This window comes from Homo sapiens, chromosome 10, assembly GCF_000001405.40.
Source record: "Homo sapiens chromosome 10, GRCh38.p14 Primary Assembly".
Taxonomy (NCBI): domain Eukaryota; kingdom Metazoa; phylum Chordata; class Mammalia; order Primates; family Hominidae; genus Homo; species Homo sapiens.
In genome coordinates this window covers 69,835,347-69,862,102 of record NC_000010.11, presented here as the reverse complement: position 1 = coordinate 69,862,102, position 26,756 = coordinate 69,835,347, and the positions used below count along the sequence as shown (strand labels likewise).

At 51.5% G+C, this 26,756-nt stretch overlaps 1 protein-coding gene across 43 annotated transcripts in view, besides 2 other annotated features; it reads right to left on the bottom strand.

The window, feature by feature from the left end:
• COL13A1 (collagen type XIII alpha 1 chain) overlaps window positions 1–26,756 on the bottom strand; it is a 157,239-nt gene that overhangs the window by 97,042 nt on the left and 33,441 nt on the right. The gene's annotated exons all lie outside the window — the stretch shown is intronic.
• Window positions 847–1,552: an enhancer, noted in NCBI's record as "H3K27ac-H3K4me1 hESC enhancer chr10:71620307-71621012 (GRCh37/hg19 assembly coordinates)". NCBI's record gives its function as "activates a minimal SCP1, AML or CMV promoter by ChIP-STARR-seq in naive H9 embryonic stem cells {active_cell/tissue: H9 hESC(naive)}" and the evidence as "EXISTENCE:reporter gene assay evidence [ECO:0000049][PMID:30033119]".
• Window positions 19,249–19,750: an enhancer, noted in NCBI's record as "H3K4me1 hESC enhancer chr10:71602109-71602610 (GRCh37/hg19 assembly coordinates)". NCBI's record gives its function as "activates a minimal SCP1, AML or CMV promoter by ChIP-STARR-seq in primed H9 embryonic stem cells {active_cell/tissue: H9 hESC(primed)}" and the evidence as "EXISTENCE:reporter gene assay evidence [ECO:0000049][PMID:30033119]".

Below are 26,756 nucleotides of genomic sequence, written 5' to 3'. Positions count from 1 at the left end.
AACTGTGGGCATCTCTTCCTAACTTGGCGCCCAGTGACTTCACACTGGCAGCTGGAAATTGGCCATGGTGGGAGTATTCACACCACAGAAATTGGCAAAAGCTACAAAGCAGCCCCACCTTACCCCAAGAGCCACTTCTTAAGCGTTTGCCAGCACGCCACAGCTCACATCTGTCCTATGATGACATCTCTCGGCCACAAGACACCCCCAGACCTTTCCAGCCCAGGTTGATGGGGTATAACAGGTCCTGGGAGAAGTGGGCAGCAGTTTAAATCACACACACCTACAGTCTCTGTGCCTGCACTCATGGCTGACACTGATAATCAATCACAGCTCCTTAATGAGCCTAGACAAGGTTTCACAATTCTTTGCAACACAGCCACTATCAATCAGCAGAAATTGGCACATGATATGGAACCTATTAGTCATCCTGGAAACTAGAGCCACCTGGAGGTGAGACTCAGGGGAAGCAAGTAGACGAAGCAGGAGGACCCTTTTCTAACTAATCAGGCAGGACTGAGTCTAGCCTTGGGGAGTGGCAGAGACGGAGGTGGAGAGGCTGGGTGTCCTGGACTCCCCAGACACATCTCATACCAGGCATGGGGACTAGCATTGATTGCAGCTCTCTATCCCATCCCCATTCAGCTGTTAAGGTTGGCAGAGAGACTGGAATGTACGAGCAAGGAAGGGACAGGAGCCAGTAAGATCCCCTCCAGCTTAGTTCATGCCCTGGCCCCAGGAGGTCCCCAGAGGACTCCATACTACTAGCTATGCCACTGCCACCCCTGGAGCCACCTGACAGCAACCTGAGTGGCCACCTTCCTGTAAACTCCATGGAAGTGGACTTCACACCTGGCAGCCTGGCGGGGCACTTGGTCTGGCTCCAGGGGCTTCTTGACACTCTGCCCTTGGCTAACCCCTGCTTTCAATCTGGAGGTGCCCCCTTCACTTCCTTGCTCCTTGCATTGTTTGGCAAGTGCCTGAGGGCTGGTGGGACGGGGGAGGCTCAGATGCCCAGCAGCCGGGGTTACTCCTCTCTGTGGACGCAGGAGGGTGTGCCTAAGTAGCAGACTTTCTTGGTTACCTCCTCTGCGTCCATTCTCCCTTTCTCCTCCCAACAAAACCTTAAAGTTCCTCCAGCCTCCTCTCCTTCCCGATGCAGTCCTGTGTTTCCAGGGAAGCCGTTCGCCAGCCTAGCTAGCAATGGGTAAGGGTATATGCCTGGGGCCTGGAGCCCTCGTGGAGATGGCTCTGGTGAGACAGTTTGAGCAGGCAGAGGGACAGGAGATCCCCTTACCATCCCTGCAGCTCCCTTGATGCCAGAGTCCCACATCCCTTGGAATGGGGGATAGCAGCCTGGGGCTCAGGAAAATGGCCGCAGAAGGCCACAGGCAAGGAGGGCATGGGGGACCTGGCTGCAGGTTCTGCCCAGGGGGATGGAGGGTGATGCCCAGCCCCTGGCAAGAGGAACGACAACCCGACAGAAGATGGCGCCAGGCCACCCCCGTGCCCCTCCCCCACCCAGCTGTAATTCTGGGTGAATGAAAGGGAGAGAGGGAAATGGTGTCTCGACAGCTGATGAGAACCTGAAAGGCTAAGGGTTGAGCAGGAAGTGGCTGAGTTCCTCAGAATTATTTTTCTCATTCTTCAGCAGAAGGCAGGTGCTTGGAAGCACGGCTCAGTGCGGTATGAGGGGGTAAAGAAGATTGTATCTTGGCACACTGGAGCTGTGTCTCCCTCATGCCCGCTTTCAACACCTGCTCAACACCAGCTATGCATGGCTGCTGTGCAGAAGGCTGTAAAGGTCACCCGCTGTCCCTGACCTTGAGGGCTTCTTTTCTAGCTCAGGAGACCGCCCCATCCAAGTACCCTGACACTTCGTCCTGAGGCTGGGGGCTGTGGCAGCTTTTCCCTGGAGCAGGGCTCATCTGCTGGTCACTGCGTCTACTGCTTCCTGCAGACTGAGGCCGGGAACCCCAGAGTGAGACTGCAGCCCCCACGCTGCCCACCAGGTACAGACCCCCTGACTCTGCCTTCCGTCCAGCTTAGAGGTGGGTGTCCCGCTGGTCCTGGGGTGAGGCTGGCCCCACGTTGGTCTCTACTCAGAAGCAAGCTCCTGTCTGGGGGCACTCTGTGGCTGACATTCAGTCCTTCTTCCTTCTCAGGGCTTTGTTTTACCTTTTCCCATTTGAGCCACAAAACAGCCCTGAAAGGCTGGAGTAGGAGTCAGCAGCCCCATTTTCTGAGTGAGGGACTGAGATGCAGAAAGGAAATGTGCTGTCTGGAAGCTCGCACAGAATTCCCAAACTCCAGTCTCCTCCGGCTGCAGCCCTCTGGGCAGCTCCCCTGCCTGTGGCTCTGGGCCTTGTGACCTGCGACTGGACTGGGAGGGGCAAGTGGTCCTGACGAGACCCTTGACCTCCAGCCCCAGCCCTTGAGTCCCAAGCCAGGGCTGCTTTCTTCCATTGAGGGGTCACTCAGGTCCCTGAAGGAAGACAAGTCTCTGGGCATCACACCTATGACCTGGGACTTCTTCCTGACACCGGATCTCGCCAGTGTTCCTGTGCAAGGCCCTGCCTGGGGAAGCTCAAACGTCACATCATGGCTCTGCTGGCCAGTGCCCTGCCCGGCGACTGCCGGAGGAGCAGAGAAGAGGGGCTGGGGAAGGGTCACAGCTCAGGTCAGACTCATGTCGAATGCCACCCCTCAGAGGCCTGGGAGGGGCTGCAGGCTTCATAGGTCTTGCTTTGACAACCAGGCCTGTATCTCTGAATGATGAGCTTTTTGATTTTAAAGTCACATTTATTATGTTGGTACAAAAGTAATTGTGGTTTTTGCCATTAAAAGGAATGGCAAAACCCGCAATTACTTTTGCATCAACCTAATATTAATAACCCATTTTGGTCTGGCATCATGCTAACCTCTTACCAGCGCCAAGCACCTTACACATATCATTTCCTCTTCACAGTAGCCCCATAAGGTAACTATACAAGGTGTGCTATTGTCCACACCTAACAGTGGAGGAAACTGAGCCACAGAGAGGTCAAAGTTCTGGCCCATAGTCGTACAACTGAAATCCAGGCATGCCCTTAGCCCCAAAGACATGCATCATCTAACTGCCCTGACAGGCAGTCTCGGTACTATTATGCGCCGTTTTGCAGGTGGGGCTCTTGTGGCTGTGCAGAGAAGTTAAGTAATTTGTCCAATGTCACACAGCTGGTAAATTGGCAGAGCCTTTGGAATCAGCTACACCCTAAAGCTTTCTTTCTTAACCTTTACATTTATTGCTTCAGCTGCAAAAGCAAATTAAGAGTCAACAAGACTTAGTGGTGGGGGGAGATGGTTAGACTGCTGAGAATGAAAACCTTCAATGAGCCCTTCCAAGTTCCTTTGAGGACCATGTGGCCTCATTCCTGGGCTAAGTTCAGACCATGCTCGTCTCTTGCCTGAAGTTGGCTCCCAGAGTCCCCCAGTGAGGACTGATCACGAACTCCATCCAGACACTGCCCATCTTAGGAGGAACTTCAACTAGACACATGCACACAGTGTCGTAGTTTCACTGTTCTTCCTTTTACTTAGAAGGAATGGGGAACTGCCCAGAATCCTGGACAAGAGCATAGGCTTTGGAGCCAAACAGCCACAGGTTCAAATTTCTACTTTACTACTTACTAGCTGTGTGACCTTGGGCAAGCTGCTTAACCTCTCTGAGCCCAGTATCCTCTATAAAATGGGGGTAATAAGAGTATCTACCTCACTGGATTTGGGTGGTAAATGAGAGAATACAAGTAAGATATTTAGCACTGTCCCTGGCTTAGAGTAAGCACTCAATAAATATAGCTATGACAATTGTTATGGTTATGAAGTCAGAAATAATGGCATCCAATCCCAGAAGCATATGATACTGCCCACTGTGTTCTAACCAGAAGAATGGCTAATAAGAGCTCTTCTCATGTGCCAGGCACCAATCTTTTTTTTTTTTTTTTTTTTGAGACGGAGTCTCGCTCTGTCACCCAGGCTGGAGTGCAGTGGCACGATCTCGGCTCACTGCAACCTCTGCCTCCCGGGTTCAAGCAATTCTTCTACCTCAGCCTCTTGAGTAGCTGGGACTACAGGCATGCGCCACCATGCCTGGCTATTTTTTGTATTTTTAGTAGAGACAGGGTTTCACCATATTGGCCAGGCTGGTCTCGAACTCCTGACCTCGTGATCTGCCTGCCTTGGCTTCCCAAAGTGCTGGGATTACAGGCACGAGCCACCGCGCCCAGCCAACCAGGCGCCAGTCTTAATGCTTCACAGGTATTACCATGTTTAACCCTTATAAGCCTTTTAAGGTGGACTTCAGGAGGCTGAGACAGAGAGAGGCAGCACCTCCTGCCTTGCATCCCAAGCTGGTGAGGGGCAGGCTGATTCTAGGGCAGCAGTCCCTAACCTTTTTGGCACCAGGGACTGGTTTCCTAGAAGACAATTTTTCGGGGTGGGAGGGATGGGTTCAGGATAAAACTGTTCCGCCTTGGCCCATAAGGAGTGTGCAACGTAGATCCCTCACATGCACAGTTCACAATAGTGTTCTCACTCCTGTGAAGATCTAATGCCACCACTGATCTGATGGGGAGCAGAGCTCAGGTCATAATGTGAGCAGTGGGGGAGCAGCTGTCAATTCAGAGGACACTTCGCTTGCTCTGAACCAGTACCAGGCCCTTAATCACGCTGTTGCCCTGCCTCTCAGATGAGCCCTTAAAATCCTGGAACCCACGCAGGGCTCAGGGTGAGCTGAGCTAAGCAGAGCAGGCTGGACAGGGCTGGGTGACCTTTTGAGTGAAATAGTACAGATTTAAGCCATCAGCTTTGAACTGTTGGGACAAATTGCACATTTTCTTACTTCCGTGGGCCCCTGTCGCTTCCAGGTTGGGGTCAGAATCGTAAGTCCTGAGTGAGGAAACCTTGGGGGTAGGTCTTGCTGGTAGAGACTGGAGTCCCAATTTTACAGATTCAGGCCAAGGGCAGGCACTGTTCTCAGGCTGAACAGTTTCCTGGCCAGGCCTCCAGCACGGGTCAGAGGGGCTGGGCTGCCACACACAGATAGGGACAGTGGGCCCAGGGAAGGTGGAAAAGTTCTCTATCAAGTCAGCCCTTGTGTGGGCGAGGTGGAAATCAATCAGGGATGAGCCTTGCCCGTTGCACTTTGCTGGCTCTGACCCCTCAGCTCTATTTTGATAACAATCTGGAGTCTCCACACTTGAACTTGTCACCCTTGACTGAGTCTCCCAGAAACAGTGAGATCCTCCCACAGGACCTAGAGATATCTTCTCAAGGGGAGGGACTTCCTGCTCCACCCCCAGCCCCTCACCTTGGGCCCTTCCCAGGAAATCATCTGTTGTGCAAGCCTTGCTCCCTTCTCCACATCCAAAAGGCATCGACAGTTCTCCAGCAGAGGTTGCAGTACGCACATCACGGCTTCACATCCTCTCCTTCACGCAGCTGGCTTTGATTTACCACAACCCCACGACATCAAAATATTCAGTGAATTATTCTCATTTCTATGTGTGGATCTCAGTTCCATGTTCCATGTCCATGTTTTTCTACCTTGTCTTTTGTTAGGTTGTAAGATTTATGATGGGCACAGTCCTTAATTCTTTAATCACTACTCTAAGAAGAGTTGAGGGAGATTAGGTGTCACAAACTCCAATGCCTACAAGGAGCCAGGCAGGTCACATAAATAAATGAAGTAGGCCAGGTGTCATGTGATAGGGCATGGTGGAGACTGTGGCAAAGTGCTAAGGGCTTGCCTGTGTGCCTAAAATGGACTGGATACCCCTCAGCTGCAACCAAGTATTGCCAGTTGAGGTTGCAGACCTACTATTGGCAGATCTTGAAACTATTCAAGAAAAGCTGAGAATCAGATATTTTCTGCAAAATCTTCTCATTTCTAAATGCTGCTACTAATTTAAGAACACTTAAAAACCACTCTGCAGGCCAAACAAAACCTGTGAAAGAGCTACATTTGGTCCTCAAGCTGCTAATTCGCAATACACAGTCTCTGGGCACCTTCCAGGCCTGAACTGCTCCAATTCCACAGCCCAGAACTTCTGGCCCAGAGTGTGGGCTCAGTCAATCCTTGCTGAATATGCATGAATGAGTAATTAAATGAATGGATGGGTGGGCCCACTGGCTATCATCTGACTACAGATCTGTGAAGGAGCAATGTCATAACAGTGTTTGGACATTGAACTTGTACGTGAGAGTTAGTTTGACCAAGAGTGGAACTGTTTGGGTACACTAAACAATGACAAGTGTGCTTGCATCCCTCCCTCTTGCATCCCTCCCCCCTTCTACTGGGCATGGAGCCCAGAGCTGAAGACAAGCCCCACATAAGTCCCCGGCCCCAGGATGCCAGGTGAGTTAGGAGGCTGCTTTCCTCAGGCCCGGAAGTAAAGCAGGACTCCGTGAAGCAGGGACAGGGAATAATTAACAATTAGTAAGGTACTTAATCACCCCTGGATATCTATTTTTCTTAAATCTTACTTTAAATTGCACACAATTAACAACATATACAGCAATTAGTAATTAGCTAATTACTAATTATTAGTTATTAGTTCATTATAATATGGAGTGTTATTATAATATGTTATTAGTTCGTTATAATATGGAGTGTTTTAACTTACAATAGCACAATCAAGTGAAACATCATTTTTGTCCCTGTCTCTCAATGAATCCTGTCTCAAGCAGCTCTGTCATTAGTCCAGGAGGGCATGGTGAAGGCGTGCATGTGTAACTGTGGGCCAGGAAGAAATAAAGAAACACACAGTCTCATGGGTGGCAGCCTGGCAGCCCCATGGCCTGCTTCCATGCCATCTGGCTGAACGGCACCACCAACCCCTCTGAATGTCACAGGTGGCCAGGAAAACAGCTACCCTAACACTTACTGTGTGCCAGCAGTAGACTGGGCACTGTGTCTATTTACTATTTCTAATCTTTATAACTCAGCCTATCTGAGTTCTAACTTACAGGTGTAAACACCCAGGCTCCATAGGTTACACGGATTGCCCAAGGTCAAATCACAAGTAAACGGTGGAGCTAGGATTCTTGCCTGGGTCTATGAGACTGCAAAGTCCATCCTCTTTCCACACCAGCACACAGCCTGGAGAACGGGGAGCCTCCGATTTCCTTACACACATGACAAAGCTGTACAGTACCCAAGGTTCTCCAGGGAAGCACTGGCAGGGTTGAGATGAAAGCCCAGATGTCCAAGCCCTGCGCTGAGTACCTGTCTATTCTGGAATTGCAAATACCACAGGACATATACCATTCCTCTATCTAGGACCCATGGCAGACATAACTGATCTATTTCAGCACTGTTTCTTGTACTTCTTGGCAACCACAACCAATCAATCACAGCTCGTCCCTGTGAGGAAACGTACTTGGCATCCTTGGCAGGTCTCAGTACAACTGCAAGTGAAAGAATTTTCATAACTGAGGATGTAGAACCTCTAACCAGAGTCTGGTGACAAGCAGAAATGACAGGAACCACTTTTTTTTTTTGAGACAGGGTCTCAAAAGACTGGAGGGCAGTCGTGTGATCTTGGTTCCCTGCAGCCACAACCTCCCAGGCTCAAGCGACCCTACCACCTCAGCCTCCCGAGTAGCTGGGACTGCTGGCGCACACCACCATGCCTGGCTAATTTATTGTTTTAAAATTTTTTGTAGAGATGGGGTTTCGCCGTGTTGCCTAGGCTGGTCTTGAACTCCTGAACTCCAGCGATCTACCAGCCTTGATCTCCCAGAGTGCTGGGATTACAAGTGTGAGCCACAGCACCCGGCTGAAACCACTGTCTTTTGAATAGAAAGGGCCTTAAGCATGTGGCACGAGAAGGGGCAAAGGGAAAAGGAAAGGATGAAGCCAAGTTCTGACATCTCACACACCATACCATGTAGGCTGAAGATTGAGGCCCGGGCTGCACAGTGAGCTGTATGGCCTCCAGTGTACGTGCCAGGGATGTGGGGTTCTCGGGAGGCCGAGGAGTCCAGGAACTGGATGCATCTGAACTGAGAAGAGTGGCAACACTTTGGATTTTACATTTGGCTTTGCTTTAAAATTTTTTTTAGTTTGTTTTTCTGACATATATTTATTGTTCAAACAGCTCTGTAAGAACATTAAAGGACATTTTGTGAAAGAAAAGCCATCATCCATAATCCCCCATGCCCACTCTCAACTGTTTCCATTTTCTCTTCCCCTCTCTGATCCTCGTCCACACGCATACCTACGTTCACAGAGCAGAAATCGGTGTGCACGGAATATGGTCCACTGCTTCCTTCACTTACCATGACAAGGCAGACACATTCCTGCATCAGGGCAGCCTTGGAAACGACATCTTTAACATGGCTGCGTTTAAAGATCATATAACGTGATTTATCTTTGAGTTGGTTACTAGATCACGAAGTTTCTGTGTTTTTTATATTCTATGCTGCAGTGAATATCTTTGTACATCTAGCAGTTTTCCTTTTATACATTGTTTTCTGAGCCTAAGGGAGGGAGCCTGTGTGAAACCTTTGTGTGAACATCGTTATGGTTCTTTATACTTGCGTTGACCTCATATGTATAAAGTCTTGAAAGTTTTGAGAGCATCGTGCTTCCCTAGATCCTATGGCAATCGTAGAGGGGCACATGTGTTCCCTCACAGGAATGAGGAATCGGAGGCTGGAAGGTTAAGAAGCTGAGTCGAGGTCACTCAGCAGATAAGAGGCCTCATTGGAAATGGCAGTTGTGTTTCAGGCTCCTTGTGCGAAGCTCTCTCACACCTAGAAGCCTGGGGTGCCAGGTGGGGGATGGGACGGGGGGTGGGTGCAGTATCCATAGGAAATGGAAACAGCAGGACCAAGAAGAGGGTGAGGCGTCTCTGGTGGCTTCCCCTCCTCATGGAATGTCCCTTCCAGACAGAAGGCTCTGACTTTTTAATTAAGAGAAGATGCTTTTTAGAGGGGGCAGGGGCACCCTGGGGAGACCAGGCTGTGTTATCAGATGCTGATCGCTAGGAAGATATCTCCCCACTGCTGGGCTGCACAGAGCCCCCTCCCCATACCTCCCCCCGCTCCCCCGCCCCAGCTGGACAGCCCCAGGCAAGGGCTTTGCTGGGGAGGCCAGGCGGATGTCAGAGCTCTCTGCAGACAAAAAGTCTGGGTGGTCTCCATAGCTCTGGTCCCTTTCTGTCAAGGCACTGGGAAAGCCGCAGCCCCAGGCCCAGCAATGGGCCGAGTCCACCTTGGCCACTAGCATCATTCACTGCCCAGGAGAAGGGTTTGCCAGTTTTGCCCAGCGAGGTCCATTCCTCTCCCCTCCCAGCCCACTGGGGTCTCCCAAAATGGGACAAGTGACCTGCAGGCCACTCTTGGCGCCACCCTTGTACTTGCCCCCAGCCCACCATCCCAACCAGGGGTTCCGTGGGGCTGCAAGGCTCGTCAGAGGACTTCCTGGGTCCACACCAGCCCAGTCACCCCACCCTGCTGAGTCTCAGCCAGACAGGCAGTCAAGGGCCACGTACTGAGCCATTGCTCGATATATCTGGCACTGCTCTATGTTGGTGCTGGCACTATAGAGGTAGAAAAGACATCTTCTAGCAGTCGAGCTTGGGCAAGTCCACCTCTGAGCTTTAGTGTCCTTCTCTGCAAAATGGGGACAAAGCAGCACTTTTCTCACAGGAGAGTTGAAGGAATTAGATGAGATAACATATGTGAAATGATAAATCAGTACCTGACACATAATAAGCACCATACAAGTATTGGCTTATTATTATTATTATCTCTAGCCGCAGGTGATAGACAACAAACAGAAATAAATAAATGGGAAAAATTTACACACTGATGACTGCTATGAGAAGTTACAATATGCAAATATAGTAGACGGGGCTGGAATTTGGGAAAATGCTTTAGCTTGGATGACTGAGGAAGGCCTTTCTGAGGAGGTGGTGTTGGAGTCGAAACCTAGATAATGAAGAGGCGGCACGAGAGAGTCCAAGGGATGGTCACTGCACACCAGCACAGCAAGTGCAAAGGCCCTGGGGTGGGAAACAGAAAAAAATCCTCTGTGGTTGGAGCTGTGATGTCTATTACAGCAGCTGTCAGCCACCTGTGGCCATTAAACTAAAATTGAAATAGGCCAGGAGCGGTGGCTCACACCTGTAATCCCAGCACTTTGGGAGGCTGAGGCGGGTGGATCACCTGAGGTCAGAAGTTCTAGACCAGCCTGGCCAACGTGGCAAAACCCCACCTCTACTAAAAATACAAAAACTAGCTGGGGATGGTGGTGCAAGCCTGCAATCTCACCTACTTGGGAGGCTGAGACAGGAGAATCACTTGAATCAGGGAGGTGGAGGTTGCCGTGAGCTGAGATCGCACTGCTGCACTCCAGCCTGGACAACAGAGTGAGACTCCATCTCAAAAAAACAAAACAAAACAAACAAAACAAAAAACCACAATAAAATGGAAATAAAATAAAAAATTCAGTTCAGTTCCTCAGCCTCACTAGCCACATTTTAAGTGTTGAATAGCCACATGTAGCTGTGGCTACTGTATTAGACAGCGCAGGGAGAAAATATTTCATCCTGGCAGGAAGTTCTATTAAGCAGCTCTGCCCTGGAGTTTCAGGAGAAGAAAATAAATGGACATGAAATGAAGCAGGAAAGGAAGGCAGGGGCCAGAACTCAAGGGATCTTGAAGGCCAGGGCAGGGAGGAGTTTGGCATTTTCCCCCAGGGCACTGGGAAACCTTTGGGGTGTCCAGACTTTGGCAAAATTGTTTTGGCTCAGGGTGGAAGGGGAGCTCCCTTCCTGATTTCCCTGATTCTCTCACTTCTCTGAACCTGAGAAATCTTCAGAAATCAGAGCCAAAGCTGAACAGATGTATTCATTGAGCCCAACACCCTGTTTTCTCGAATCTACAGTTGTGAAGCATACGCAGGAATGCCACAGAATCTCCCAGGACCTCGATTCTCCTGAGGGGTGCATGGTTCCCCTTAGTGAAGGCGGAGATGGAGCCCTGCTCTCAGGACCCCTGGCCCATGTGCTGGCCCCTGTAGAAAGGCCCCTGTAGTGCCTGCTGTGCTGTGCCATCCAGATTCCCCTTTAGGGAATGAAGGACTTGTCCCTTCAGATGCTAGGGTGCTGCCTGCAGATAGCTCTCAGATGTCAGTCCTCTGCAGGAGTGCCTTGGCTAAAGAGAGCCACCTTGTCCAAGAACCCCCTTCATGGCCTGGCCCCCTTGGGGCAACTCTGAGGGGCCATCCCCGTTCCAGAACTACCTGGGTGGGCTGAGGCCATCACTGAGAGTTGGCACAGCTCATCATCTTCCTTTGCCCGGTCTGTTGCCTTTCCCTTCTCTCTCTTCCCCTCCCCTTTCAATGGTGTGTATGTAGAGTCTGCTGGCTGACAGTCAGCTTCCCAGGGAACCTGATCTGCCTCAGCCCCCCTCAGCATCACAAGGACAACAGCCCGCCCTTTGCCCATTGGTAAAAGACAGCACTAAGAAAAGCAGTACCCTGAGCAGGCTGGCAGAGACCTCTCAGTAGGTGGCTTCCTCCAGACGCAGGAGGCCGCTGGAAGGCCCCTGCATTAGACATGTGCCATGGGGTAAGAAACCCTCTTTCTCGAGTGTCACCCCATGCCAGGCAGTTTAACGTGTGGCTCCAGGTCCTCTCCTGATGTCTCTTAAGAGGATTGTTATCCTCATCCCACTAGAGACAGGGCCGAGGCTTTGAAAGAACCCAACTTCCTGAAGCTTCTTGATGCCAGAGCTGGGATTTGAACCCAGATCTTGTGGAGTCCAGAATCTGCCTTTTGCCCTGTATCGTACTGTGTCGCACAGTCTAAACTTACCTAGAGTTCCAAACTCAGTGATTTAATGAGTTAATGCACAAATTCATTTTACAAATGTGGACATTTAGATCTCATCCATGGACATTTGGATCTCGTCTGCCTTTGCTGTAGTTGAGAACCAAAGTGATCAGCGCCTCCCTCCACCTCCAGCTCACCCAGTGGGAGTTTTATGGCTCCAGGGCAGCCACCAGCTAATGTCTGTCACCGTCACTATGTGTTCAGGCTCTGCAAATCCCGCTTTGATGTGCTAACAGCTCCTAATGGGAACAGTGGCTAATAAATCATTAAGAGGAGCCCAGGATGACCAACTCGTCCTACTCTCCTGACCTCTGACCTTACTCGGGAGCTGGCCGTGGGGCCCAGTTTCAGCCCCATCCCATAAGGTGCTTGGTTCAAGGAAGCTGGAATCACCTGGGCAGGCCACACCGGGTGGGGAGGCCTGGAAAGTGGCTGGGGACATTTTGACTTCTGCAGATGAGAAAAAACACCTGTAAAGGAGTCACTAAGGGAATCACAGCAGAGGTCTGCGCTGGGCACAGGTCGAGGCAGGCTGGGAAGACAGTGGGAGCCGCCATCCTTGTCTTCAGCCCCCAAACACAACAGAAGGCTACACACAGTTGTTCCCACATGCTAGGAGGGTCAGGGAGTCCCACAGAATTGAGGCCAGGGCTAAGATAAAAAGGAGATGTGAAAAAGAAGGAAACAATATCCTCTCTTGTTCTTAAAAATAAATAAAAATAAAAACGTGCCATTGTGTGGGCATCATACCACCACTCTCCCCAGAGACAGAGCAGAGGGGCTGCTGAGCCGGTTGGTGACTGCGGACCATGGGCCTCCATGATAGGGCAGTGGGAAGTGATCAGGGGGCACTGCTGCGGAAGCGCCCCCCACCCCCGCTCCCCATCCCCTGCACCAGGCTAGGCAGCTGGGCCTCTATGACAGCCCCCAGGCCCCTCCTGGAGGAAGCAGGAAAGGGATTGAAGGGGAGGGCAGCCACTTCTGTCTCTGATGGGACAGAATAATGGATTTGAGATCTGGAAGTGACCTTCTACCAGTTTAGGGTCAGAAACCCGTTCTCTGTAAGCACTGTGATATCAGAACCTTTGAAAATTCTAAGACATTTAAAAAAATGGTTTAAACACTTCTCTTTGGGTTTGGTAAAATCGTTAAGAGAATTCCAGCCTGTCTGAGCCAGAGGGGAGGTGGAGATGAATTGCCCACATGGGTCAGGTGGTGCAGGGGGGTGTCAAGGCACCCTGGGTGTCTGAGTACAGAGGCAGCGGCAGGAAATCCCATGGGGACAGCACCACAGAAGCAAAGGCAGGCTGTAGGCTGCAGCCGTTGGCTATGCAAATGTCCATGCTAGGTAGCACCTGAGCCACAAAGAGAAGGTGAGTTGTGGAGGGGACTCTTAGGCCCTCACTTGTCCTTAAGTGACCCCCTTGGCACCAGCTGGCTCTTCTGTGGGGAATGCTTCCATTGTTTTCATAAGGGGAGGGCATCTCTTTCTGATCCAAGAAGCATCCTTGTCCCTTTGCCTCCAGAAAGACACAGCAGAAGTGTGGCGTGGGGAAGGCAGGTGAGTCAGGCGACAGGTGAGAGGACGGTGCGTGGGTCCACACCTGTTGGCTGTTCTTGCTCTCACTCAGTAGTGTTTTTCTTACACGGTGAGTGATCTTCTGTATCGAAGGTTTTCTCAGGGGTATCCTCGGGGATGAGCTTTGGAGCCAAACAGACCTAGGTTCAGATCCCAGCAACTCTTAATAGCTCCAGAGCCCCAGGCAAGTTTCTTTTAATTTCTCTGAGCCTCAGTCTCTTTATAAAGTGGAACTAATAGTACCAGTTTGCAAGGTTGTTGGAGACATATACACATATGTAAGGGTCTTGCACTTAATAAGTCCTTGGGAAGTGGCAGCTTTGCTTCTTATTACTAAGCCATCCAGGAGGTATAGGATGATTTTAATTCAGCTCAGGCCGGTAGCTTGCTCACACTTCGCCAGCAACCTCAGTTGGACTGCTTTGTGACACTTGGATCAGATGCGGCCATCTGATCCATCTTCCTGGCAGCCTCTGCAATTGTCCTGACCCCTCCCCCAGAGCCCCTCAGTCTCAGCTGGTCCCAGTGGCTTCTTCACCTCCGTGACTCAGAGGTCTTGAGCAAATGACTGGAGACTCCATCTGGCCAGACAACCCCCATTCTAGGGACCTAGACAAGCTGGGAAGAGGAAGGAGGTGGGCCAGGGGGCAAGAAGGGCAGTTTCCTGCCTGTGTTCCAAGCATGCTAGGTCTCAGAAGGGTCTCTTATGCCTTCGGGTCAGGGTCCAGCCCTTTGCAGGAAGGGGAACTCCTCCCTCCCAGACCAGCCCCACATCCACTGAGGACCTTGACGGCAAAGTTGTTAGGTTTTCTTTAGGTTTCTTTGCTGTTTCTGTGGGGCCACAGATGGAAAGGAGAAAGAGAGTGAATCAGAGCCTTCCCCTGCTGCTTTGGAGGGAGGCCCTTGTCCCTTCCTCCCAGGGCTCCTAATCCCTCCGCCAGCAAACGCCATTCCTCCCAAGCTGAGATGCTGCAGAGCCGGAGGCTTATATACAGACCCTGTTATTTATTGGGAGGCTTAGGGCCAGGACAAGGTCTGTAGGCCATAGCCACATTCTCTTCTGTCCTGGCTCTTCTCACCTGTGTCATAAGCCTGGAGGCAAGGAGAAAGAGCAGGAGGAGAGAGACAGAGTAGGGAGAGAGATGAGGGGATGGGAGGAAGGAAGGGGTACTCGTGCTGAGGGCCTACTATGTGCCTGGTCCTGCAAGAGATGTTTACAGGGTGACCTCATTTAATAGATTGCAGTAGGTCACTTTTATCTAATTTGTGTACCTGTGTGAGCAGTTCAGAAATGTGTGTTTTGGAGACAGAATGGTATGGCGGTCAACAGCAACAGTTTGGACAGTGGTCCACACCCCAGCCCTGACTCATATGGGATTACCTTATATACACAGACACATCATTTCACTTCTCTGAGCCTCAATTTTCTCATCAGTAAAATGAGCATAAGAATTTCTAGCTGTTAGGGTTCTGAAGGAGCTGGGGTCAGGCCCTAAGCATGCGGTCCGGCACCCTGTAAAGTAGATGGAAGCTATGATGAGGAGGAAGAGAAGGAAGAGGCTAAAGAGAGACACAATAGAGAAGATGAAGAAGCAGGCGAGGGTCAAGAAAGAGTGTCCCTCTGCTGGGCACGACCTGGGATTTGGCTAACTTCAGTTTTCTAGCAGCACCCTGGGGTGAGCCCCTAATGAGGGCCGTGGCTCCCGCTGGGAAGCACCCCCACTTGAATCAGCGGGTTCTAAGCTGCCAAGCCTCAGGCTTGGCTGCAGCTGCAGTCACTGCTCCTGCCCCACGTGTCTGCACACCCCGGCTCACCAGCAGCCACGGCAGAGGAGGGACCTCCAGGGAAACTTCCTCTGCCCCTGTGGGGATTTGGTCCCTCCCGGTGCTCCCCTCTGAGGATCAAAAAAGCACCCTGTGTGTTTAAGGAGGCGCCTATTGGGAGCACTGGAGGGAGGAAGGTTAAGACGATTAGCTGGTGCTAACAAATTTAGGATGTGGAAGAAGTCTTTTCTTGGCTGTCCATCAAAGGAAGGATTGAATGTCCCTAAGCTTGGAAAGAGCAGAAGAAGGGGAGGGCAGGGTGGGGGAAGAAAGCAGAAGGGTGTTCTGAGCTCACCAGCTGAGCCTTCTCCCTGGATGCACCTTCCCGGGGCAGTGGGGGTGTACAAGAGTTGGGCGGGCAGGTGTGCTGGGCTGGCCGTCTGTCGCAGTGCTGGCCTCCCCGTCAGCCTGTCTGTCACCGCCCCTCCCCCCAACCCCAACCCCAGCTCGGGTTATGTCCAAGCAGCTGGGCTGAAAAGTGATCCTGGAGGCAGAGGCCCTTCCTGTTGATTAGGAACCAGGACACTCTCCCCCAGCCCCTCCAGTGCCACCAGACCCTTCTTCATCCAGGACCCTGTCTTGGGACCACCCCCAGCCCCTTGTTACCGAGGGCTGGGCTGCTCTTCTTCTAGGTTCCTCTCTTGGTTAAGAGAGACATGCATGGCCTCCCAGAGAGATCACAGACTACTCACAAAAGCCTTCATAAAAGTTTATTTCCGGCATGGGCTGGAAGGAGGGAGGGCACGGGAACCGTGTCATGTCCAGGAATGGTTCATTCAGGACTGCCTGGGCACTGGCCTTGCGCCAGGCCTTGGGGAAACAGACAGCAAGGCACTATCCCTGTCCCTGCCTCCAGGAAACCCTTGTCCAGTGGAGGGAAAAAGATGCAAACAAAAAGATACGCTACAGTGAAATTTAGCAGTTCAGTGACTTTCTGAACTCATTGAGCAAAAGGATTACCTGGATTGCTAAATGCAGATTTCCAGACCACAGGATTGGAGATTCTGATGTTGTAGGTCTGACCTGGGCATCTGCATTTTTAGCTGACTAGGTGATTCTGCTGCAGGTGAGGTCAGAATTGATTTGGAAAAAGGGTGAAATGTCTTTTTCCAAATCAGGGAGCAGGGTTACTGCTAAGAGGGATGCAGGGACCTTGTGGGAGGCAAGAAATGTTTCCCAGGGAGGCACCTGAAGCTGGTTCCCATTGGGGAGGGGCTGCAGGCTGAGGGAGGGGAAGGAGTGACACAGGCTAGTGGGTTGGGGATGCCTACTTTGGTGTAGCTGCAGGGGTGGGGGTATTTAGAGGGTGTAAGAAAAGAGGAAGAGGGCTGGTGCGGTGGCTCACACCTGTAATCCCAGCACTTTGGCAGGCTGAGGTGGGTGGATCACCTGAGGTCAAGAGTTCAAGACCAGCCTGGCCAACATGGTGAATCCCTGTCTCTACTAAAAATACAAAAATTAGCCAGGCGTGGTGGTGGGTGCCTGTAATCCCAGTTACTTGGGAGGCTGAGGCAGGAGAATCACTTGAACCTGGGAGGCGGAGGTTGCAGTGAGTGGAGATCACGCCACTGCACTCCAGCCTGGGTGACAGAGTAAGACTCTGTCTCAGAAAAAAAAAAAAAGAAAAAGAAAAGAAAAGAAAAAGAGAAAAGAAAAGAGGATGAGGCTCAGCAAGAAAGCACAGTGAAGTCTTGGAGGCATCTTGAGGGTGTCAGATGTCAAGCAAGGCAGGTCTGGATGGGTTTTGTTTGTCTCTATAGGATAGAGAATCCTATAACTAGTTAAGTACAGGACCTTAACATAGTATGGTTCTCTTGCTGGCCTTTCCAGCAAGCTCCTACTCATCTCTCAAGATCCTTAGGAAAAGTCACCTCCTGGATTTCCCAAAACAGAGCCCAGGCTCTCCAGAGCAAAACCACTGCAGACAGTAAATCAGCTCAGGAGCAAAGCTCAATCCCATCTGCTTCCCCATTGCTGCTATAATTGACAGTCTGGGGCACCACCCTCTCCAGTTTGCATTCACCTGGCATATGTACTTTACGGTCTCAAAAATCCTTTAAGGCAGGTGAGGTATGACGGGCCAACATGATTTTAGGAACTTTTAAGTCCTACTCAAACACTTCAGCCAACACTTCCCTTCTCCATGACAAAAGCAAGGATATCTCTTGTCGCTATGCCAACATTGCTAGTTAACCCTTCTCTAGGGTCACTTTGTGCTTGCTACTGTTCTAAACATGCCACTGTATTAACTCTTTTAATCCTTACAATGGCCCAAGGAAGTGGCTAATATTATTACCCTATTTTACAGGTGGGAAACTGAGGCACAAAGTTAGACCACCTTATGTTTGCGATGGAAGCATGTTCTCGTCTCATCTCTCTGTATCTCCACAGGCTTACTGGGGGCTGGGGTGAGAAGCTGGTGAAGTGTGAGCAGGCAGGAGGCATAGGCAGGTCAGATAACTTGCCCAGAATCACAGTTATGAGCTTCATTCCACTTGCTGATCCCACAAATACTTAGGGAGTGTCTGGCATTTGCTGAGCACTGTGCCTATGGCCCATCCTCCCTGGACAGCCACACTGAGCTGGCCATCATTCAAGCACAGATAACTTTTCAGGCCCCTCCTGACAGCCCATGCTGTTCCCTTTGTTTGGAATGTCCTCCTGCCCTCTCCGACTCAAATCCTACACCTCCTTCAAGACCTAGAGCAAATGCCGCCTCTTCCGGGAAGCCCTCAGGGCTTGCTATTCCTTTTCTTTTTCTTCTGACTCTCTTGGGTATTTTCTATGCTTTACTGGTGGGCATCTCTCCTGGACGATAAAGACTATGTCTTGTTTGACTTTGTGACATATCACAAACCTACCACGGCACCTGCCCACAGCATATGATAACAGCGCCTGGCCCACAGCAGATGTTCAACACCTTCGTATTGATAAATAAATCCAGGTGCACAACTGCCTAACTCTAGCACCTTTTTATTGGGCTGTAGCACCTCTGGTCGTGGACACAGCAGGACACTGAAAATGTACACAGAAGCAAATGGACTTCACCAACCCCATGACCACCATCACCGTCATGGCAAACATTAGCTGAGCACCTAATATATGTTGGGTGCTATACCAGCTTGCTTTATATACATTATCTCATTTAATCCTCACCACGATCCATAGAACAAGCCTTCTCATTATCCTCATTTTATAGATCAAAGCTGTTGGATAGAAAACATTTTGCAATAATGGAAATGTTCTGTGCGTGTGCTGTCCAATACAGTAGCCACTAGCCACAGGAACACTTGAAATATGGCTGGGGAAACTGATGAATTGCATTTTAAATTTTATTTAATTCGAATTAATTTAAATATACAGTCATGTGTGGTTAGTGGCAGTCATAATGGACACCGCAGTGTAGATGAAAAAAGACCCTAGAGGTTGAAAAATTTGCCCAAGAGGCCACAGCTGACAAGTGACAAAGGCAGGATTTGAACCCATGGTTGCCAGGATCTGAAACCCAGATTCTGCACTCTCACCCTTTAACTCCTCCTCCTCTTCTCGCTCCTAGGCCGTGGGTTGAGGGGGAAGAGTTTAACATCATCACACCAGCTATCATGTGGGCCGATGGCCTCCACGTGGAGGCTGAATCTTCTGACCACTTGAGCAACACGACATGGTGAGAATCTCACCTCTCTGGGCCCCCTCTCCTGCTGTGACGTGGGTGCTGGAAGAGATAACCCCCACCCTCCAGCACTGACAGCCTAGGAGCCATGATTTCTTTGCAGAAGGCCTTTAGGCTCAGCAGCCGGAGAACATAAACAGTTTACTCTCAGTGTTTCTGCAGCCCAGGCAACCTGGAGGATTAACCTTACTGCGTCCTGACACCAACTTCCACGAGTGTAGACCGGAGGCATGTAAAGGCTGCTGCTCTGGCATAAATGCTGCTGCTGGGTCACTGCCGGGACCCCGTCTGAAACCCTCACACAGCGGAACCCAGCAGGCCTGGCAGGGAGCTGGGCTCTCTGCTCCTCAAAGGAGCAAACTCTGGGTGAAACAGTCCTCATCTGTTGGGTGCTGGTGCTGACTCTGGCCCCTGACAGCACACTGAGGCCAGCATCTGGGCATGCACAGCCTGTCCTGGCTACTGGAGACAAGAGTGTAGTGTACACTACAGCCTCATGGAGCACAGTTGTACCAAATGCCCAGGAAAGCTAGCACTGAAGCCCAGCCCCTGCGTTTGGGTGGGGATGATGTTAGTGCCGGAATGAGCATGGACAGACCAATGCTTTGGAGTAGGGGAGGTCCTTGGACATGTAGTGACCTGGGGTAGGGAGCAGGGCTACAGAGGCTACAGAGCATGGACATCCTATAAGGGCTTAGTGTCAGGGCACTTGGTTATTTTTCCTGCTCTGTACAGAAGCCAGTGTAATAGTCCGTTTTTACCGCTTCTGATAAAGGCATACCTGAGACTGAATAATTTATAAAGAAAAAGAGGTTTAACAAGGTTCTAAATGGTTGGGGAGGCCCCACAACCCTGGCAGAAGGTGAAAGGCACGTCTTAATGTGGCGGCAGGCGAGAGAGAAATGAGAATCAAGTGAAAGGGGTTTCCCCTTATGAAAGCTTCAGATCTCACGAGACTTATTCATTACCACGAGAGCAGTATGGGGGAAACCACCCCCATGAGTCAATCATCTCCCACCAGGTCCCTCTCACAACACGTGGGAATTATGGGAGCTACAATTCAAGATGAGATTTGAGTGGGGACACAGTGAAACCATATCAGCTAGTCTGAGCTTTCATAATACCAGTCTGGTTAGGTCATGGTCCTGCTCAATACTTTTTGGTGGCTCCCCACTGCTCTTAGGATAAAGATGAAAGCCTTAACGTGGTCCATAAAGCCCTGCATATTCCAGCTGAATCTCATCTCATACCAGTCTCTGTCCCGAAGCTCCCTGCCCAGGCCACACTGCTCCTGCCTCAGTTCCTCATCCTCCCTTCCCACTGCAGGGTCTCTGCCCTTGCTGTTCCCTTGCCTGGAACACTTTCCCTGCCCTTTACCTGGTCAATTCCTACTCCCTTGCCAGATCTCTCTGCTCAAGGACGCTTGAGGATTTTTTTTCTAGTTTCTCATGAAACCTTGCATTGCCTTTTGGTGGAGCTGATCGCTATTGCAATTTTATATTTGCTGGGGCAATTGGTGGAGGCTGCCTCCCTGACTGAACCGTAAGTCATGTCTTGCTCACCCTCGGGTTACCAGCACCTAGCAAAGGCATGGCATGGAGTGAGTGCTCAGTAATATGTGTTGAATGATACATGAATGATGCTGTGATTTTGTGCATGGCAATTCCATTCTCTGAGCCTGACACCTTAAATGATTATTGAAGAGCATTTATTCCGTGCCAGGTGCTGGGAAGACACAGAGCTAACTGTCCAGAGGGGAGACAGATGTGAAACTAGTCCCTGATGATGCAGTGGGATAGGTTTATGCTTGGAGGCTGGGCTGGCTCTAAGGAAGCTTTCGGCAGTGGCAGGTGACCTGAAATTGGGGAGGTGGGGGCAGGGGTGGGAATCAGGGATGGCTATCTAGGAGTTTACAACTAAGGCCAAATCGGAAGGGTAAGGGAGAGTTAACAGGCAAAGGTGGAGATGAGGGGGTTCCTGGCAGAGGGAAGAGCAGGGGCAGAGGCCTGGTGATGAGAGCCCTGCTCCTAAGCCCCAGGCTGGCTGTGCTGCAGGGAGTCCAGGGAAGTGGGGCAGGGGGGCAGTGGGGAGGGATGGGGCCCGATGGGGTGTGCTGGACATGGTCGTGAAGGCACTGGCGCCACTGCAGGGTTTCAGGCGGAGGGGTGACAGAGGAGTGTCCTCCTGAGTGACAGAAAAGGACTAGATGGGGCAGAGCCTGGGGCCCCTTCCAGCTCTGGCGCCCGGGGTTCTGAGAGCCAGGGGGCAGGGGAACGCTGGGTTGGATTAGGATGGTTCCCGACTCTGTTGCCAGCAGAAGCCTCAAGAGACCAGTTTTCCTCCCTGACGTCAACTTAAAGGTCACACAGATCCCAGGTTTCCTCTCAGGGGCCTTTGAGGGCCCCTCATTTTGTTCTTTTACCCAGATCCCTCAGGAATCCCATGACATTCCCAGCCTGGACCACCTCTCAGGGTAATGAGTCCCCTGAGGTCCTAAGTTGCTGTGAGAAGCAGGACTTCCTTTAATTTGTCCTAAACTTACCTCACTCAAGTTTCAAAGGGGGCCCCATCATCCCAGTATTTCAGGATTTAGTGAGCAAGGAAATGCACTGTGAAGCTGCTGAGGTGGGGAGGGGAACTCAGGACATCTGACTCCAGAGGGCCCCCCTCAGCCAGGCAGACAGGCCACAGGCTCTGCCTCCTCCATCCAGCCCCTCTTGCTCCTAAGCTGGTGAAGTGGAAGGGGAACCAGCAATTCAACAAACTGCTCACTCTAGCAAGTGGACTCCACGCTGGGGGACACGCAACTTAAAGGACCCCGAGTCACCGAGTCACCGGGCTCCTTCGATGCCGCTGTCTGTCCCTCCAGCCCTGTCCCCATCTCTCCAGGAAACCTGCCCCTGACCCCCAGCACCTGGGCTAAGCATTCTGCAGCTCCAGCAGCTTCACAGCCCAGCCCAGTCAACAGCTCAAGTCAAGAAGCCTTCAGCTCTGCCTGGTTTCTCTCCATCTCTCACCCGACAGCCAGCCCATCAGCAAGGCCTGCTAGCGTCACCTCTAGCACATACCCAAAATCTGCACACTCTCCCCATTTCCTCTGTCACCACTGCCTCTCACCTGGACACCGCAATTGTCCAGGACACCTATTGGCTCCTCTCCACTCTGCCTTTGTAATCCATTCTCTGCCGGTGCCAAGAGGACTGGAAAATGTAGCCCAGAGCCGGTGGCTCCCCCTCCTAAAACCTTCCTGTGGCTTCCTGGCTCATTGAGGGTGAAATGTACAAATACCACAGGCCAGAGTCACACGAGGCGCCACAGGACTGGCCCGCGCCCTCCCTGAGCTCTCTCTCTGCTCTCTCCCTGTCACTCATTTCACCTGGCCACACTCTGACCTTTCTCTTCTTCAGACACACCAAGCTCATTCCGACCTCAGGGATTTTGCACCGGCTTTTGCTGCTAACCAGCATGCTCATTCCCCAACCTCTGATTTAATTCTTTAATCAATTTATCTCATGGACACTCTTCTAGTGCTTTATGCTGTGACAAGTTCAGGCACAGCACTTCTCATGCTCAGGATCATCTGTTAGCTCTGCGTGGTGGGCTCCCCTTGTCATTCAGATGTCACCTTCTCACAGATAACACTGCCCCCCACAATGCCCTATCGAAAATATCCCCTGGATCACATGGTCAGCCTTAAATATATACAGTTTTTAATTGTCAATTATACCTCAGTAAAGTGGGCCGTGGGGGGAATCCTTTAAAATTGTCTTAATTTATTTTCTTCATAACAATCAGTGGATATTTTCTTGTTAATTTCCTTATGTGCTTATTTTGTTGATTTCTCTCATTACACTGGAAGCAGGAAGAGGTCAAGACCTCTGTCAGGTTGGTCCTCATATCACTAGAGCTCGGTGCCACTGCACATGGCAAGCGCTTCACAAGTATTTGTTGAACGAACGAACGAACGAATGAATGAATGAATGGGTCACCTCTCCCCTGGAGGCTTCCAAGACCATCGCATTCTCCAAATACCATAGCTGACACATCCAGATTGCAGGATATAACTGGTGAAATATTTCCTGTGGACACTGTTCAGAGGCCCAATCAGGGGATGGGTTTCTAGAGACAGGGTCAGGTCTTGTCCATTATTGTGTAAATGCAAAAATAACAACTGGCACGTGTGTAGCAAATAGCAATCCACTTCGCACTTTCAATGGGGCTTCACACGCAGGAACTCACTGGCTTCGCCAAGCTACTCAGTGAGGCTGTCTCAGGCTCATTTTACAAAATGGGAGCTGAGGCCCAGAGACTCAGGGCCACACAGTGTGCACAGAAGCCACGCCTCACCCCATTTCCCAAGGTGGATCTGAACCCTTTGTACAAAGGCCTGTATATACCTGCATGCCTGGCGCTCTGTATACAGCAGGGGCTTAGTGGAGGTAGCAGCATTTGCTGCAGTCAAAAAGCAGCTTAGAGGAGCCCCTGTCTGAATAAATTCCTCTGGCAAGGGCCGGTCCCCAAGGTAGTGGTGTTTCAGAGGCTCAGGAGGAAGGGCAATGTGGGTGGTCAAGAGAGTCCTGGCCTGCGGTTCAGGAGAGCTGAGTACCAGCAGCTCAATACCACTGATTAAACTCCTCCCCATGCCAGGTACTGTACCACGTGCTTTACATACATCTCCTTCATCTCAGGACAGCATGGAGGTAGAGGTTGTCATGATCCCTATCTTAGAGGTAAGAAAGCTGCAGCTCAGAGATGTCAAGTCACTTGCCCATTGTAACACAGTTGGATCCCAGAACTCAGCCAGCAGATAATCCTGCCACTTTGTTAGTCTAGGTGTTTCCAGCATTGGCTGGGTGACCCTAGAAGAACCCCTTGCCTTCTCTCGGCCTTAGGCTCTGTCTCTAAAGCCCAGGCTCCTACCAGATCCTGTCTAGGCCTGTATAGCTTTGACACAAGTGGGACCGGGAAGGCACAAGGCTGTGGCTGCTGCTGTCTCCTGTGGCCCCTTGAGGAGGGGGCTGCCTGGATGCCTTGGAGCAGGCGCAGACCTTGCCCTGCCCAAGGCACTGTGGGTGGAATGTCCAGGGGTGACCAACCCACAGGGCCCTGGCCTCCTGTGTTCACTGGGTGACAAGACCAGGATGGCCACAGCACTGGAGAAGGGCTGGGAGATCTTGGAGCTTCCCAAGATTGAGAAAGTGGCTCGTCACATCACAGGGGGCTTTTAAGGTGGGCAAATGCTCTGAGGAACATCCAGCCCCACTACAGTGCCACTAAAATGAACATCAGAAATTGGCCCCAGCTTCAGCTTCCTTTGGATAATGAAATCTGTCTTCTTCTCTGCGTTTATTTATTTATTTGGCAGGATCGCCGTTCCACGGGAACATGATCCCACTGCCTTAAGGGGCCACTCCACAAGGGGGACAACATGGAGGATGATGAAGCAGGAGGGTCAAGGCCCACTTCCAGCTCCCCAGGGATTCTGCCACCCTCCACAGAAGTGAGGAGAAGAGGCAGTGGGAAAATGTACCAGGGTAAGCGCAGAAGAGGCTGGATCTGACTTCATCCCTAGAAATAGTTGTGTGGTGGGTGGTGGCTTCAGGGTCCAATCAGTTTCTGTGGCAGCATCTTTTGCTGTCTTTTAATGAACAGCAGGGGTGTCACCTGTCAGGAAGGACAGGCTGTCTAATGGACAGATGAATCCGGAACCAGGTGCCCAGCTTGGCTGTAGCTCTTGGCCTCAGAAGGCGTCAGGAGTCTGTGGCATTGGCTGACACACCAGTGCCTCTGAGTGCCAATGAGCAAAGAATGATACAGCTGGAGCTGATGTGGTCAAGCATTTGGAACTAGAACCGTACAGAGACCCACCAATCAGAACCGACACCAGCCAGGATCATTGGTAAGGTCCCCCATGGGATGCTGATGGGGCCTCATTGTCCAGATTCCCGAACACCCCGAGGGAAAGTAAGTTCTTTGTTGAGAAGGACTCACATCCAGGTTCTAAGCCTATAGGAAAATGAAGAGGACATTCAGGCTGTCAAAGCTCTTGGGCCCTGGGCACCCTGGAGCCGGAGCCCTGGCATGGAGACCCCTCCATGACCACAAACAGGCAGGTCTCGGGAACACACGGCACAGCTGCCCAGTACCTGCTGCCCCTGGGAGGTTGGGACCCGCCCCACCCTCCCTCCGGCCTGTCATGGTATGCCAGGTCACCCCGTGACAGCTCACATAACTACATGGGAAGCTGGCATCCACTTATACCCCCACCGCCTGCTGGGCATCTTTCTGTGGCAGGCATTTCCTCCCCAGTTGGGGTTTAAAGAGGAAGGCAGGCACTGAGGGAGCCTCTGCCCATACTTGGTCCTCATTCTAGCTCCAGGAGGCTCCCCAGGGTCTCCATGAGGCTGAGGAGCCAGCCTGCCAAGGATGTAGCTCTGTGTGCCCCAGGTTTGCCCATCTCCAGCTCTTGTCAGCCACACACCTTGCCTACTGGAGACATTCCAACAGTGCCCTGCCTGGTGTACCTGCCACACAGACAGATGGCAAAGGCTGGAGGGGTGGGAGGAAGTGAGTTTGTGAAGTGAGCTGGAAAGAGAATGAGCAGCTGGAGCTCTGACCCTCCCCTCCCTCCCCTGCTTATATGTGCATAGCCAGCTCCCCTTTGCATGGTAGGAGGGCCTCTCACCAGGAAGCCGAGTCAGCTGAGCTCTGGGGTCCCTTCTGAGTCCCAGATCTGATGTCTCAGGGCCAAATGCCAGCTGCACAAGCCACCAACAGTGTGGTTCTAGACCTGTGTCCCTGCCTTGGCCCCGCCTTGATTGGGGCCGGCCTCCCAGGGCTGGAATCCTGGAGGATGCGGCCCTGGGACTGTAGCCCACACTGGGCACCGCCTAGCCCCACCGGAGCCCTGGGTCTCTGCAGCAGCCACTGAGTTACCCGTGTGTTTCCCCTTCCTGGACTGTGGGCTCTTCTCTGTCTCCTGAGGATGGGGCATGGCACAGAACCAGTGCTCAAAAACTGTTTGGTGGGGAGTGAGGGAGTGAGAGAGAGAGATAGCTAGAGGTTGGCAGGGGGAGCTTCTGATGCTGCTCTGGTTTGCCCAGACTCAGACTACTTAAATTCTGGCTTCAACACACACTAGCTCTGTGGCCTTGGCCCCGTTACAGAACTTCTTTGGGCCCCAGTCTTCTATGGAAATGGAGATAATAATAGTACCTGCCACATAAAGTAATTATGAGGATCAAATGAGACAATGCAATAAAGTGCTTATCACAGTGCCAGGCGCAGAGTAAGCCCTTAATAGATGTTGTTGTTATCATTACTAATTAATGTCCTCCAGCCTTATCTGACTCCATGCTCCCTGGACAAGCATCACGGCCACTGCCGAGTCCTCGGTTTCCCACTGTGCTCCAGGGTAGCACTTGGGTCCCTGGGGGGCATTTGCCTTCTGATGTTTCAGAGCTTATTTCCAGTCCCAACCCTGCCACTGCCTAACCCTGTATCCTCGAGCAAAGAATTCTGAGCTTCAGGGTCCTCATCAGGAGAATAGGGCAGTGTGAGTCGTAACCTGGAGAGCTGGTGGGAGGGTGCAGTGAAGAGGGCCAGGTGTGTGGGGACAAGAGTGCCACTGCCAGCAGAGGCCACCCAAGTCGCCTTAGTGGCTGAACAGGAACTTGCCAGGGAGTAACAGGGGAGAGGCTGGCTGGGTTATGACAAGAGTGGGGGTAGTCATCGAGGGAGTGGGCAGCCTGGGTGGGTCCAGGAGGAAGAGCCAGGGACTGCATCCATGGGTCTGGCATGT